Below are 14,830 nucleotides of genomic sequence, written 5' to 3' on the forward strand. Positions count from 1 at the left end.
AACCGAGGGGACCAATCTGGACAAGGGGAGCCAATTAGAAAACTGCAGGCCCAGGATTATCTTATTTTCATTCTCTAGAGCAGAGTTTCAATAGAGCGCTATTGACATTTTGGACTAGATATTATAATTCTTTGTTGTGGGGGCTGTTCTATGCATTACAGGATGTTTACTAGCATTCCTGTTCTTTACCTACTACATTCCTCAGTCACAACAATTTACCTACTATATTCCTCAGTCACAACAATTAAAAATGTCTTCTTACATTGTCAGATGACCGTTGTGAAGGCAAAATTGCTCCATTAGAGAAATTACTGCTCCACGAGTATGTACCATTGTTTTGGCTTACTATTTATTTTTGAGACAGGGTCTGGCTCTGTCGCTCAGGCTGCAGTGCAGTGACGTGACACAATCATAGCTCACTGTGGCCTCACACTCTTTGGCTCATGGGATCCTCCCTCCTCAGCCAGTCCCAGTAGCTGGGACTACAGGCCCCCGACCACTACGACCCGCTAATTTTTGTATTTTTTGTAGAAACAGGGTTTCACCATGTTGGCCATGGCTGATCTCGAACTCCTGGTCTCAAGAGACTTAGCTGCCTCAGGCTCCCAAACTGCTGAGATTACAGGCCTGAGCCACCAAGCCCGGCCTAGTTTACTATTTATTGATTAGGGTAGTTTTTCAGCTTTGTAAGGGAACGTCGTGATGTGGTGATGCAAATGAACTTCGTCTGATATTTAGTTATTTTCCGTCCTGTAGAAACAGTACAGTTTTATTGTCCTGTAAGGCAGTTTCCAGTTCTCTACCTCACTTAGCAATGTTAATTTACAGCATTGCTTCTTTCAGTGACTATCAATAAATTCTTCGATCCAGTTTTACCAGTTTTACCATCTTGATGATTCCCTCATTAGTGAATTAAACCTTTGACAAGTGTTTATTTCATATTCGTATATGAATCATGCATTTAACCGTTTGAAAAGTGTATTTTGACCAAATGTATAAAAGTAAATACATCTGTGAAATAGGATAACTTATTCAGGCAATTGAGGTTGGAGAGGAGATAAAACATTACATTTAATTCATCGAGACTCGCCCCACTCAAATAAATGTTTCATGGACTTGAGGAGATTAATGGCCAAGTTAAATGTACTTTCAATTTTTGTTCAGAAAAGAAAAAAAAAATCTGTGTGCCATAAAGGAGTGAACATTGGGCTCAATGGCCTACTTGCACAAGAAGGATCATTTGCCCTGTGCATGTTTCATTATATGACAAGGTAATTATCTTTAATGGAACATGAAAAAGAATGAAACAGATTTTTTTTTCTCTTTTCTTTTTTTTTTTTTTTTTTTTTTTTTTGAGACGGAGTCTTGCTCTGTGGAGTGGCTGGAGTGCGGTGGCAACATATCTGCTCACTGCAACCTCTGCCTCCTAGGTTGCAGTGATTCTCCTGCCTCGGCCTCCCGAGTAGCTGGGATTACAGGCGCCCACCACCACCACGCCCGGCTGATTCTTGTAGTTTTAACAGAGACAGGGGTGTCACCATTTTGGCCAGGTTGGTCTCGAACTCCTGACCTCAGGTGATCTCCCCGTCTCGGCCTGCTGAAGTCCTGGGATTACAGAGGTAAGTCACCGCGCCGGGCCATAATGAAACAGATTTCGGATGCCAGATTCCACCACAAGTGGATTTTTTCATTAACAAGGGAGGATAATAGCTATTCTGAGCTTCAGAGTCATAGAAAGCTAGACAAGAATCTTACACTTTGCAAAACTAATATTTGAAATGATATTACCTTGTGTTAATCATTTAAAAATGTATCATTTTAGCACACCCATGGATAGGTTTTTGCTGAGTTAAGAATTAATGTGATGGCCAGCTGCTGTGGGCTCACGCCTATGATCCTAGGGCTTTAGAAGGCCAAAACGGGCGGATCACTTGAGGCCAAGAGTTCGAGACCAGCCTGGCCAACATGGCAAAAATCACAACTCTACTAAAAATATAAAAATTAGGCGGGCGTGGTGGCTTGCGTTTGTAATCCCAGCTGCTCGAAGGCTGAGGCGGGAGAACGGGAGAATCGCTCGAACCTGGGAAGCGGAGGTTGCAGTGAGCCGATATCGCGCCACTGCACTCCAGCCCAGGCGACAGAGCGAGACTCTGTCTCAAAAAAAAAAAAAAAATTATTATGCTTTCGAAGTTGCATTATTTAGCCTGCTCTTCCTTCTCTTCCTCCTGTCAGTTATCTCAATAAAATCCCATTAAAATTGCATTGTTAAAGTGTTTCAAATTCTATTTTTAGGTAGAGGTTAAAATTGGTTATATAATGCATTCATCACAACAAAAGATGGTCATTGCTAAATTCTTATCAGTTCCTTGTGCCTCCTTAACATTTTATGTTTCTTTTTGTAAACTAGTGAGGGTGGTGCTCCCGTTTTCTCCCTGTTTCAGAGAAAAGGGCCTCTGAATATCAGTCAGTTCCGAAGGGGTAGTGGATGTCAAAAGAACATCAACGACGCAGGTAAACAGGACGACAAGCATCCACGATTGCCCAACCTTCCGCAGAGATGGCATCCCCAGCGGGAAGTGAAAGTCGTGTGAATCCTTCGATAGCTCAGTTGGTAGAGCGGAGGACTGTAGTTGGCTGTGTCCTTAGACATCCTTAGGTCGCTGGTTCGAATCCGGCTCGAAGGAGTTCACAATTTTTTTTTTTTGCGTAAGTTTTAAAATTCATTCTCAGAAATGCGTATTTCACTTATACATATCCTCGATAAGAATCTATTTAAAACTATTCTGGATGTGCAGTGAATCTCTTTAATTTTTTATTATTCTCCGTAACAATTTTTAACACGCGCCATCAAGACTTCATCCCTATAATTCGTATAATCCAACCCTCTTAGAAGCCCTGGGCACTGAGGAAGTGAATCAGACACTGGTCCACTGGGCTAGAGATCCACAGAGGCGTCTCCACCCCTCAACCCCGGATCCACAGCCGGGGGAAAGGGGCGGCTGGTGGGAATTACTCGGAGCAACTGGTAATTGGTGGGGCACGCGCGTGCCCTGGTGTTCAGAGTTCTGAATCGTTGCGAGTCAGTTACAAGCTGAACCACTAGCGTCTGAACCCTATACATCTGAAGCCGGGATGAAATTCAGGAGTTCTATTCCCCCTTCTCCTTTTAATTGTCATGGTGGTGTCTTTCGACCCTAGCAGAGAATATGTGGTCGATATTAGAATCACCTGGGGAGATTTTACAAAGCATCTATGCTTGGGTTTCTTTGGAGGTAAGATTCAGGTATTGTAGTTTCAAAAGCTCACCAGCTGACTTTCCTGTACTGCAAGTTTTGAAAAACACTGGTAGAAGAGAATCATTTTAGGAGAAAATAGTACATAAGGGAAAAAATGGACAGGATTTCCTACCCACATAGGGAATTAGCTCACAAAGTAGAGATCTGGCATAACAGTGGTACATATTTGCTAATTTTGTGCCAATCTAATTACAATATATTAATCCCATTGTACCCTTTTGTGTCTCAAAAATGTGATCCCAGATACCTATGGAAGAGTTCTTAATGACAAATATCTTTGTCTAGATCAAAGTAAGGAAGCGTTTTCTGAGGATTTTGTGCCTGGTAATTTCTTGTATGTTCCTTCCCATGTTTCCAAACTTTTATTCTTTATGAAAATAATTCTCAAACTTGGATATCAGAACCACCTGGAAAACTAACAAAAAACACAGAAGCCCAGGCTTATTGAATTAGGGTGGTGGTTGGAGAGCCCTGCCCAAAACGCATTGGAAGCCACTCCTATTAAGGGCTGGAGATGGATCTAAACTGATAGCTCCCCCATGAACTTGCTTTTTGAAAGCTGGTTGGGGGCAAAAGAAAAATGGCCTTTTGTTTGTGGTTTTTTGAGACGGAGTCTCGCTCTGTCGCCCAGCCTGGAGTGCAGTGGCTCCATCTCAGCTCACTGCAACCTCCACCTTCCGGATTCGAGAGATTCTCCCGCCTCAGTCTCCCGAGTAGCTAGGATTACAGGCGTCCGCCACCACGCCGGGCTAATTTTTGTGTTTGTGGTAGAAACGGGGTTTCACCATGTTGGCCAGGCTGGTCTGGAACTCCTGACTTCAGTTGATCCACCAACCTCGGCCTCCCAAAGTGCTGGAATTTCAGGCGCAAGCCACCGCACCCAGCCAGAAAACAAAACAAAACAAAACAAAACAAATAGGTATTTTCAAAGGTAATGTTTGGGGCTTGAATGCAACATTTGTTAAATAGTCCTGGACTAAGCTTCTTGCCAAGGCACAATAGATTTCAGTCCAGATAGATTCTCTGTCACAATTCTCCTCCTATGTGCCAGCACCAGTAACAGCAGCAGACCCCCCCACCCCACCCTCCGGCAAGATATAGCAAGATGACTTCAGAAGAGGAAGAGTGAACGTCAAAACAAAACAAAACAAAAACCCTCAAACATACCTACATACCCTTTGGCTCTCCATCATTTTATTTTTATATATTTTATTTATTTTTTTCGAGACGGAGTTTCGCTCTTGTTGCCCAGGCTGGAGTGCAGTGGCCCGATCTCGGCTCACTGCAACCTCCGCCTTCCGGTTTCAAGCCATTCTCCTGCCTCAGCCTCCGGAGTAGCTGGGATTACAGGCATGCGCAACCACGTCGGGCCAATTTTTGTGTTTTTAGTAAAGACGAGGTTTCACCATGTTGGCCAGGCTGGTCTCGAACTCCTGACCTCGTGATCAGCCTGCCTCGGCCTCCCAAAGTGCTCGGATTACAGACGGGAACCACCACGCCTGGCCCATCCACCATATTATTGAGATAATGGGAGTGCCTTTGTTACAATTGTAACAACTTAAGGTGGTCCTCAATAGGTCGGACATGTAGGAAATAGATTCCAAGAATAAAAATGTAATTTTAAAAATCTTTTAAAATTTGTGATACAGGGCCAGGCGCGGTGGCCCACGCCTGTAATCCCAGCACTTTGGGAGGCCGAGTCGGGTGGATCACTAGATGTTAGGAGTTCGAGACCAGCCTGGCCAACAAGGTGAAAGCCCGTCTCTACTAAAAATGTGCCGGTGTGGTGGCGCACAGCTGTAATCCCGGCTACTCCAGAGGCTGAGGCACAAGAATCGCTTGAACCCGGGAGCCGGAGGTTGCAGTGAGCCGAGATCGTGCCACTGCACTCCAGACTGGGCGACGGAGTAAGTCTGTCTCAAAAAAAAAAAAAAAAAAAAAAAAGGAAAAGAAAAAAATTTGTAATACGTCCTCAGTCTGCTGTGATAAAAATGTAATACATAAATGATCGAAGTGTATAATAGATTTGCCAATGCACCTGGCAGAGGCCAACACTCAGAACTGAAAATAGTGAGAGAAATTCGAAGTACCCAGCTCTGTCTACGATAGAACAATCTGAGGACTAGGGAACCACCGAGTAGATGGGTTTTCATGGGTGGTGAGAGAATCTTGAGCTTGAAGGAAAGACCACCCCCATTATGATACGGGAGTGTGTTGTTAGCTGCTTATGTGTCAGCAAGATATTCATGGAAAGATAGGAGTAAAGGCCAAAGGGTAAGGTGGGAGAGGAAACCACATAAAACTGGAGAATGCGGGCATCGATCCCGCTACCTCTCGCATGCTAAGCGAGCGCTCTACCATTTGAGCTAATTCCCCGTGTGGGAAAACGTCTCTTATATCCTTTACCCTCTTTGATATCTGGAAGTAATTCAGGACTCTCGCTATTTCAATTGACTTTCGTCACTAGCCAATAGGAAAAAAATGAAGAACTGTGTACAATGGTGACTAAAGAGCCTCAGCATGACTTCCGCCCCTCAGCGCCATCTATAACCTGTTTTACCATGTCGGATCCCGTCTGGAGAAGCCCACCGAGTGCAGGTGAACCAGGGAGGCGAAGTCCATAGAAACAGCTGTCTTGGGGGTCCGGGAAGAGTTTAACACTGGAATCACATCTGCGGAAACCGGGAACTGGAAGCAAATTGAGGATGCGGCCAGAAGGGAAAATCAAGTTTTTCAAGCAATGAGGTTCGGCCTTGGCCTAACCAATAGTTTCTACCACTCTCCGCACCCCTAAAATTTCCATCTATTCATCTGGTTCCAGAAACAGATTATCCAGCGTCTTTGTAGATCTACGAATATCCCTTAAAGTCGGGTGCGGTGGTTCACGCCTGTAATCCCAGCATTTTGGGAGGCCGAGGCGGGTGGATCACTTGAGATGAGGAGTTCGAAACCAGCCTGCCAATATGGTGAAACCCCTGTCTCCACTAAAAATACAAAAAATTAGCCGGGCGTGGTGGCGCACACCTGTAATCCCAGCTGCTCGGGAGGCTGAAGCAGGAGAATCGCTTGAACCCAGGAGGCAGAGGTCGCAATGAGCTGAGTTCGCGCCACTGCACTCCAGCCTGGGCGACCGAGTAAGACTCCCTCTCAAAAAGGAAAAAAAAAAAAAAAAAAACAAATCCGCTTTTTGTCTGGCTTTGTCGCTGCCGGAGGACCTTGTGGCCACAAGGGGGCGTGCGTCCCATTTGATTTCTTTATTCTGGTTTCTGTAGTCCTGATTTCGATCCAGGGGTGTACAAATTATTTTTCTAAGGTAAATATTAGCAAGAGAAGCGAATATACTTATGGCTGCAGACTTAGAGGCAGAGTCTTTGCACAAAGACAAATGCTTTAGTTGCCACTTTTTCTTCTGGGCCTATTGAGTACCAGCTACTGTGCCAGGTGCTAGGTGCTAGGTACTGTTCAGCAGAAGCTAGTTGGGAAAAGGAGGATCCGTTGGGCATTACTAGAGTCCCATCACTCTCAAAAAAGCCATACGAAAGCCGTCACCCAACATCTGCACCTTCAACTGCTTCTTTTCCAGAAATTCCATCATTAGAAACTTCCTCTTTTTATTTTCTAGTCTCTATGAAATTGGGGCAAGATACTAAAAATTGAAAGTGGAGAAGACAAAATATCTTATTTAAGAAAGTAACTTTGCTGCGCAGGGCATAGTAGGTCTTTTAAAGACCTTAAGACAACCTTTAATACTTGCTTTTCTCTTTTGCTTTTTCATTGCAATCAGGGCTGACAAAAAGTGGATAACTCTGTTGGAAGAAAACCTCCCAATTTCCTGCCCCCACCATTTTAGACAAGAGAGTTAAAAACTCAGATATTAGCCAGGCGTAGTGGCTCACTCCTGTAATGCCAGCACTTTGGGAGGCTGAGGCGGCTGGATCACTTGAGGTCAGGAGTTCAAGACCAGCTTGACCAACATGGCAAAACCCTGTCTCTACTAAAAATACAAAAATCAGCCGTGGGCGGTGGCGGGTGACTGTAATCTTGGCTACTTCGGAGGCTGAGACAGGAGAATCGCTTGAACCTGGGAGGCAGGGGTTGCAGTGAGCAGAGATTGCACCACTGCTCTCCAGCCTGGGTGACACAGCGAGACTCTCTCAACAAACAAACAAAAAACCAACTCAGATGTTCTAAGCAAGTGTAGAAACCCACCATTCATCTCAGAACTTGGCTCAAAGTCAGCCTTGCTTTGAGGCTCACACCACCTAGGTGCTTTCTCCTTCTTCAACCCTGGACAGAATTTACCCAGTCAGTTTGGCCTCCCCTTACTCTTTTCTGTTTATTTTCTATGACTCTATTAGGCGCGCAGGTGTGGAAATGAGGTGAAAGAAAATTAGCCCAATCCCATAGTTCAGATCCATGGGTTGTGTATTGGCATGACTGTAAACTGGGAGCAATTGGTTTGCCTAGGGCTTTTGAATTGGGAGTTCTGGTTTCTAGCAACATTGGATTAGGTATCAAATTTTACAACTTCTTAGCTTCCACAGAAGTAAATTAAGGTCAAGAAACCCCATCTCTACAAAAAGTACAAAAATTAGCCGGGCTTGGTAGCATGTGCCTGTAGTAGTCCCAGCTACTAGAGAATCTGAGGTGGGAGGATCACCTCAGGAGGGTGAAGCTGTGGAACTGTGATCATGCCTCTGCACTCCAGCCTGGGTGACAGAGTGACAGACTGAGACCCTTCCTCAAAAAAAAAAAAAAAAATCTTAAATTTCACATGGAAGTTTTAACAGTTGTTAGCAGTTGTTAAACTATTGACTCTCAACTCCAAACCCACTACTATGGACTGAATTGTGTTTCCTTAAAATTCTGTGTTGAATCCCTAATCCTTAAAGTGACTTAGTTGGAGTAAGGAAGTAGTTAAGGTTAAATAAGGTCATAGGGATGCACCTTGATCCCTAAGATTAGTTTCCTTATGAGAGGAGACAGAGTACTCAAACCATGTGAAGACACAGCAATAAGGTGTCCATCTGCAAGCCAGGAAGTGAGCCCTTACCAAGAACCAAATCAGTTGGCAACTTAATCTTGGACTTCCCAGCCTCCAGAACTGTGAGAAAATAAATTTTTGTTGTTTTAAGCCATCCAGTCTGTGGTATTTTTGTCATAGCAGCCTGCTATAGTTTGAATGTCTGTGTCCTTCCAAAATTCATTATACTGAAATCTAAGACCTAATATGATAGTATTAAGAGGTGGGGACTTTAGGAAGTCATTTGGCCATCAGAGCTCGGCCATTTTTTTTTGTGGGGGGCCTTCTCTTTCTTCTGCCATATGAGAACACAGTGTTTCTTCCTTTTGCCCTCCATTTCTTTTGCCATGTGAGGACACAAACATAAGTGCTATCTTGGAAGGAGAAAGCAGGTCTCACCAGACACTGAATCTATGAAACTGAATCTGCTGGTACCTTGATCTTGGACTTCCCAGTCTCCAGAACTGTGAGCAATAAATTTCTACTTTTTTTTTTGAGATGGAGTCTTGCTCTGTCACCCAGGCTGGAGTGCAGTGGTGCAATCTCGGCTCACTGCAGCCTCTGCCGCCCAGTGTCTCCTGCCTTAGCCTGCCCAGTAGCTGGGACTATAGACGTGAGCCACCATGCCCAGCTAATTTTTGTATTTTTAGTAGAGATGGGTTTTCACCATGTTGGCCAGACTGGTTTTGAACTTCTGACCTCAAGTTATCCACCCACCTTGGCCTCCTAAAGTGCTAGGCCACAGCACCTGGCCTCTACTCTTTATAAATTACCCTGTCTCAGGTATTTTGATACACAGCACAAATGGATTCATTATACAGAGTACGTCCAGTGTCTGAAAAAACTGCTTTAAAGCCGATTGTAGTTTTAAAAATGAGTATCAATGTAATTAAAACTGAGTCTCCTTAATGCAACAAGACTTGAAAACCCAGAAACTTTCAGGACACATTATTTTAGGAATTCTAGAAGATGAAGGGCTAGGGGTCCTTTCGATAGCTCAGTTGGTAGAGCGGAGGACTGTAGGTTCATTAAACTAAGGCATCCTTAGGTCGCTGGTTCGAATCCGGCTCGAAGGACGAAAGTTTTGAACTACGGGCTAATAATTCCAGAAATAACGGAACTTTACGAAAATCAGGATCTAGACAGGAAGATGTATTAGACTGCTGTTTAATCCTTTCTTTAATCCCCTTTGTGATACAGGAAGTAGGACTCTGTTAATCACATTGCAGTTCCACCACTTGACCCTATGGGTAAGCCTTGCCAAAAGGGTGGTTAGAGACTCCAAGGCTGAAGGTGGGAAAGTGAACTTGTTTTCTTTCTGGGGCCTTCCTGTTTCTCTAGGTGTCACCCCAGTAATCCTAACAGAGACAACAATTTTGTAGCAGCCCCGTCTTGAAATTTCACTTCTTATTGGCATCCCTGTAGCTTTTCCGCCTGGTGTCTAAGGCACAGATAGGACACACAATAATGTCAGGAGAGACTGTCCACATCCTGGGATCCCTCCTCTCTAGCTGCTAGCTCTCTATTAGGTTAGAAACATTGAAAGTTAGCATATACTATTTTCTTAGTTACTCATGCAAGGGACTTAATTACAGAGTTCAATATCAACTGTATGCTATTAATATTTCTGACAAGAGGCACTAGCAGTTGCCATTTGAAGAAAAATTTGGGATTTTTCCTTTTAAAGCCTTTTCTTGCGAGATAGTTTTAACATATTCCCCATTTCTGCCTTAGGTATAAGGAAGCTGAGCAGACAACAATCTACACAGAACCTCCCTTTATGTTGGACAATTTGCTTTGAAAAACGAATATTTATATTTCCACGTAAAGTTTTCAAAAATTTTTGCTTCATTTTAACTGCTCCACCATGATTATGTAATATACACTCAAATTTACACAAACACGCACAGATGACACTTCCACGTTTCATCACTACAGTTGTGAATACACACAATTTATCATTCGACTTTCAAAAAGGAGAACTGCAATGATACCAGAATGCTTTGTTCACAGCCCTGGGATCCTCATCAACCCGGTTGTCTGTATTTATCAAGCAAATACATTTTATCAAGCAAATAGAAAAGCCATAGCATTTATCAAGCAAATCCAGTCACTTTTAAGACAGAAAGGAGGAGTTAATCAGACAAAACAGCAGGACAGAGGGCGTAATCTGGGAGATTGTGTATATCTAGGGGAGGAGGACGGGGGATTCCAGTAAGGTTTTTGGTTTGAGCTATACATAAATATCCTAATGTTTTCAATATAAAACCCAATGCCTTTTACATATTTATAAACCCATGAAGCCAATTACCTAGAACATTACACAGAATACTTCCGGTGTATGAGAATACTGCTTTAAAGCCGATCGTAGTTTAAAAAATGAGCATTAATATAATTAATTAAAACCAAATCTCCTAAATGGAACAAGACTTAAAAACCCAGAAACTTCCAGGACGCACATTATTTTGGGGATTCTAGAGAACGCAGAACTACGTGTCTAAAAAGGACAGCGTTCCGTGTCCTTCGATAGCTCAGTTGGTAGAGCGGAGGACTGTAGGCTCATTAAGCAAGGTATCCTTAGGTCGCTGGTTCGAATCCGGCTCGGAGGACGGTAGTTTTGACCTACCAAGCTAATAATTCCAGACAATACGGTCTTTACAAAAAATAAGGATCCAGGCAAAAAAAATGTATTAGATAGCTCTTTATGCTCAAACATGCACAAGTAAACCATTTTTGGTTACATGAGTAAAAAATTTTAGGAATAAACTAGAAATGTGGTAGCTTCACCGAAGGGCACCTGCGTAGATGAAAAGCAGCGTTTCCAGGAAGTCTGAGGCTTCACTTTTTCCTTGTGAAATTTGTACCTCGCAACACTCTTCACCTCCACTCCCTCCCTGAGTCTCCTGCTGGCTGGCTCTTGGTTTCTCGATGCCATTCTTATTTCCGGCTACTGATCGTCAAATGCAGTTTTTATTCCCACTTCCCCTCTCCATCCCCGACCCGAGCTGACGTTCGACCAGCAAACCACAGCCAACGCCCGCAACACAGTTCAGTTAAGAAGGCGCGTGGGAGGTGTGGGGAATGACAGGAGCACTCTGGCCCCAAGGTTTTCGTTTCAGTTTTTACTGGAGGTTAGGATATACGATGACTTTTGGGGTCCTCTGTTATCCTGTTACTTTTCTTCTCTCTCTCTGTTTCTCTGTGTGGTTGTTGTTGTTGTTGTTGTTGTTTTAGACAATCTCGCTCTGTCGCCCAGACTGGAGTGCAGCGGTGCAATCTCGGCTCACTGGACTTCCCGGGCTCAAGCGATCCTCCCACCTCAGACTCCCGAGTAGCTGGCACTACAAGCGCAAGTCAGAACCCCTAGCTATTTTTGGAGAGACGAGGGGTGGGTGGGAGGGTCTCGCTATGTCGGCCAAACTAGTCTCGAACTCCTGGATTCAAGTATTCGTCCGCCTCGGCCTCCCGCAGTGCTGGGATTACAGGAGTGAGCCACCGCGCCTGGCCAATACTTGTTTATTCTTTAGGCACAGAAAATGAAGAATAAAAATTGAGAACTTTTTTATTTTTAAATTTTCGGTTCAGGGGCTACATAGGCAGATTTGTTACGTGACTAAATTGCGTGTCGCTGGGTTTTAGTGTATGAATGTTCCCATCACCAAGGTAGTAATCGTAGTACCCGATAATTTTTCAACCCTCATCCTCCTCCCATCATCCTGCCTCTAGTAGTTCCCAGGGTCTATTGTTCTCACCTTTGTGTCTGTGTGTACTCAATGTTTAGCTCCCTACTTATAAGTGAGAGAACATGAGGTATTTGGTTTTCTGTTCCGGAGTTAATCCACTTACAATAGTGGCCTCCAGCTGCACCCATGATGCTGCAAAGGACGCGACTTTGTACTTTTTCATGGCTGTGTGGTATTCCATGATGTATATGTACCACGTTTTCTTTATTCCACCCTTAGTGGTATGTAGCTTGATTCCATGTCTTTGCTATTGTGAATAGTGCTGCAACGAAGATACTGATGCATGTGTCTTTTTGGTAGAACGATTTATTTTCCTTTGGGTTTATACTCAGTAGTGGGATTGATGAGTCAAATGGTAGTTCCAAGTTATTTGGGAAATTTCCAAACTGTTTTGCACAGTAGCTGAATTAATTTACATTCCCACCGACAGTGGGAATGTAAGCATTCCCTTTTCTCTGCAACCTTGCCATATATCCATTATTTTTGATGTTTTAATAACAGCCATTCTGACTGATGTGAAATGGTATCTCATTGAGGTTTGATTTGTGTTTCTCTAATTAGTGATGTTGAACATTTTTCATATATTTGTTGGCTGCATGTTTGTCTTCTTTTGAAAAGTGTCTGTTCATGTCTCTTGCCCATTTTCTTTATTGGAGTTATTTGTTTTTTGCTCATGCAATTATTTAAGTTCCTTATGAATCCTTGGCATTAGAGCTATGTTGGATGCATAATTTGTGAATATTTTCTCCATTCTGTAGGCTGCCTATTTACTCTGTTGATGGTTTTGTTGTTTGTTTGTTTTGTTTTGTTTGTTTCAAGACAGAGTCTCACTCTGTTGCCCAGGCTGGAGTGCAGTGGTGTGATCTCGGCACACTGCAATTTTGGCCTTCCAGGTTCAAGTGATTCTCATGCCTCGGCCTCCTGAGTAGCTGGGACTACAGGTGTGTGCCACCATGCCTGGCTGATTTTTGTATTTTTAGTAGAGATGGGATTTCGCCATATTGGCCAGGCTGGTTTCGAACTCCTAACCTCAAGTAATCCACACACTTCCACCCCCCAAAGTATTGGGATTACACGTGTGAGCCAGTGAACCGGGCCCCTTGATGGTTTCTTTTATTGGGCAGAAGCTCCTTAGTTTAATTACATTCCCCTTAACAATTTTGGTTTTTGTTGCAAATGCTTTTGGAGACTTAGTCATAAATTACTTGCCAAGGCTGATGTCCAGAATGGTATTTCATAGGTTTTCTTTTAGGATTTTTATAGTTTGAGGTCTTACATTTAAATCTTGAATCCATCTTGAGTTAATTTTTGTATATGGTGAAAGGTATGGGTCCAATTTCAATCTTCTGCACATGGCTAGCCAGTTATTCCAGCACCATTTATTGAACACAGTCCATTCTTCATTGCTTGTTATTTTGTCAACTTTGTCAAAGATTGGATGGTTATAGTTGTGTGGCTTTATTTCTGGGTTCTCTATTTTGTTCCATAGGTTTGTATGTCTGTTTTTGTACCAGTACCATGCTGTTTTGGTTACTTGTAGCTTTGCAGTATAGTTTGAAGGTGAGTAGGGTGATGCCTCTGGCTTTGTTCTTTTTGCTTAGTATTTCTTTGGCTATTTGGGCTCTTTTTTATTTCATATGATTTTATTTTATTTATTTATTTAGAGATGGAGTCTTGCTCTGTCACCCAGGCTGGAGTGCAGTGGCACGATCTTGGCTCACTGCAACCTCTGCCTCCCAGGCTCAAGCGATTCTCCTGCCTCAGCCTCCCGAGTAGCTGAGATTACAGGAGTGAACCACCACACCCTTCTGTTTTTTGTGTTTTTAGTAGAGATAGGATTTCACCATGTTGGCCAGGCTGGTCTCAAACTCCTGACCTTAGGTGATCCGCCCACCTCAGCCTCCCAAAGTGCTGGGATTACAGGTGTGAGCCACCATGCCCAGCTTGATTTAATATAAATTTTAAAATAGTTTTCTCTAATTTCTAATTGGGGAAAACGATGTTGGTAATTTGATAGAAATAGCAGTGAACCTGTAAAGTGCTTTGAGTAGTATGGCCATTTTAACAATATTGATTCTTCCTATCCATGAGCATGGAATGTTTTTTCATTTGTTTGTGTCACCTCTGATTTCTTTCAGCAGTGTTTTGTAATTCTTCTTGTAGCGATCTTTCACCTCCTTAGTTAGCTGTATTCCTAGGTATTTTATTCTTTTTGTGGCTATTGTAAATGGGATTGCATTCTTGATTTGGCTCTCAGCTTGACCTTATTGGTGTATAGAAATGCTATTGATTTTTGTACATTGATTTTGTTTCCTGAAACTTTATCAAGGTAGTTTATCAGTTCTAGAAGCCTTTAAGGTTTTCTGAGTATCGTATTATGTCATTTGCAAAGAGAGAAAATTTGCCTTATTCTTTTCCTATTTGGTTGCTTTTTTTTTTTTTTTTTTTCCTGAGACAGAGTTTCACTCTTATTGCCCAGGCTGGAGTGCAATGGTGAGATCTCAGCTCACCGCAACCTCTGCCTTCCGGGTTCAAGAGATTCTCCCGCCTCAGCCTCCGGAGTAGCTGGGATTACAGGCATGCGCCACCACGCCCACCTAATTTTGTATTTTTGGTAGAGACAGAGTCTCTCCATGGGGTCAGGCTGGTCTCAAACTCCTGACTTCCGGTGATCTGCCTGCCTAGGCCTCCCAAAGTGCTGGGATTACAGATGTGAGCCACCACGCCCAGCTTGGATGCTTTTTATTTCTTTCTCTTGCCTGATTGCT

The 14,830-nt window shown here is 43.3% G+C and overlaps 1 long non-coding RNA gene and 4 other non-coding genes across 5 annotated transcripts, besides 1 other annotated feature; 4 read left to right on the forward strand and 1 right to left on the reverse strand.

Moving 5' to 3' along the window:
* The first annotated feature begins 2,593 nt into the window (after positions 1-2,593).
* On the forward strand, positions 2,594-2,684 carry TRY-GTA1-1 (tRNA-Tyr (anticodon GTA) 1-1). Its single transcript is given in 2 exon segments — positions 2,594-2,630; positions 2,649-2,684. It is a non-coding gene; the product is annotated as a tRNA-Tyr (tRNA).
* LOC105374988 (uncharacterized) lies at positions 3,060-8,434 on the forward strand. Its single transcript, NR_134611.1, has 2 exons — positions 3,060-3,272; positions 5,764-8,434. It is a non-coding gene; the product is annotated as an uncharacterized LOC105374988 (long non-coding RNA).
* Positions 3,136-3,265: an enhancer, noted in NCBI's record as "active region_24248". NCBI's record gives its function as "activates an Ori minimal core promoter by ATAC-STARR-seq in GM12878 lymphoblastoid cells {active_cell/tissue: GM12878}" and the evidence as "EXISTENCE:reporter gene assay evidence [ECO:0000049][PMID:35858748]".
* On the reverse strand, positions 5,600-5,672 carry TRA-AGC11-1 (tRNA-Ala (anticodon AGC) 11-1). Its single transcript has one exon. It is a non-coding gene; the product is annotated as a tRNA-Ala (tRNA).
* Positions 8,435-9,305: 871 nt separating the features above from the next.
* On the forward strand, positions 9,306-9,395 carry TRY-GTA8-1 (tRNA-Tyr (anticodon GTA) 8-1). Its single transcript is given in 2 exon segments — positions 9,306-9,342; positions 9,360-9,395. It is a non-coding gene; the product is annotated as a tRNA-Tyr (tRNA).
* Positions 9,396-10,839: 1,444 nt separating this feature from the next.
* Positions 10,840-10,928, forward strand: TRY-GTA3-1 (tRNA-Tyr (anticodon GTA) 3-1). The gene is given in 2 exon segments: positions 10,840-10,876; positions 10,893-10,928. It is a non-coding gene; the product is annotated as a tRNA-Tyr (tRNA).
* Positions 10,929-14,830: the final 3,902 nt, after the last annotated feature.

Source organism: Homo sapiens, chromosome 6 (assembly GCF_000001405.40).
Source record: "Homo sapiens chromosome 6, GRCh38.p14 Primary Assembly".
Lineage (NCBI taxonomy): Eukaryota > Metazoa > Chordata > Mammalia > Primates > Hominidae > Homo > Homo sapiens.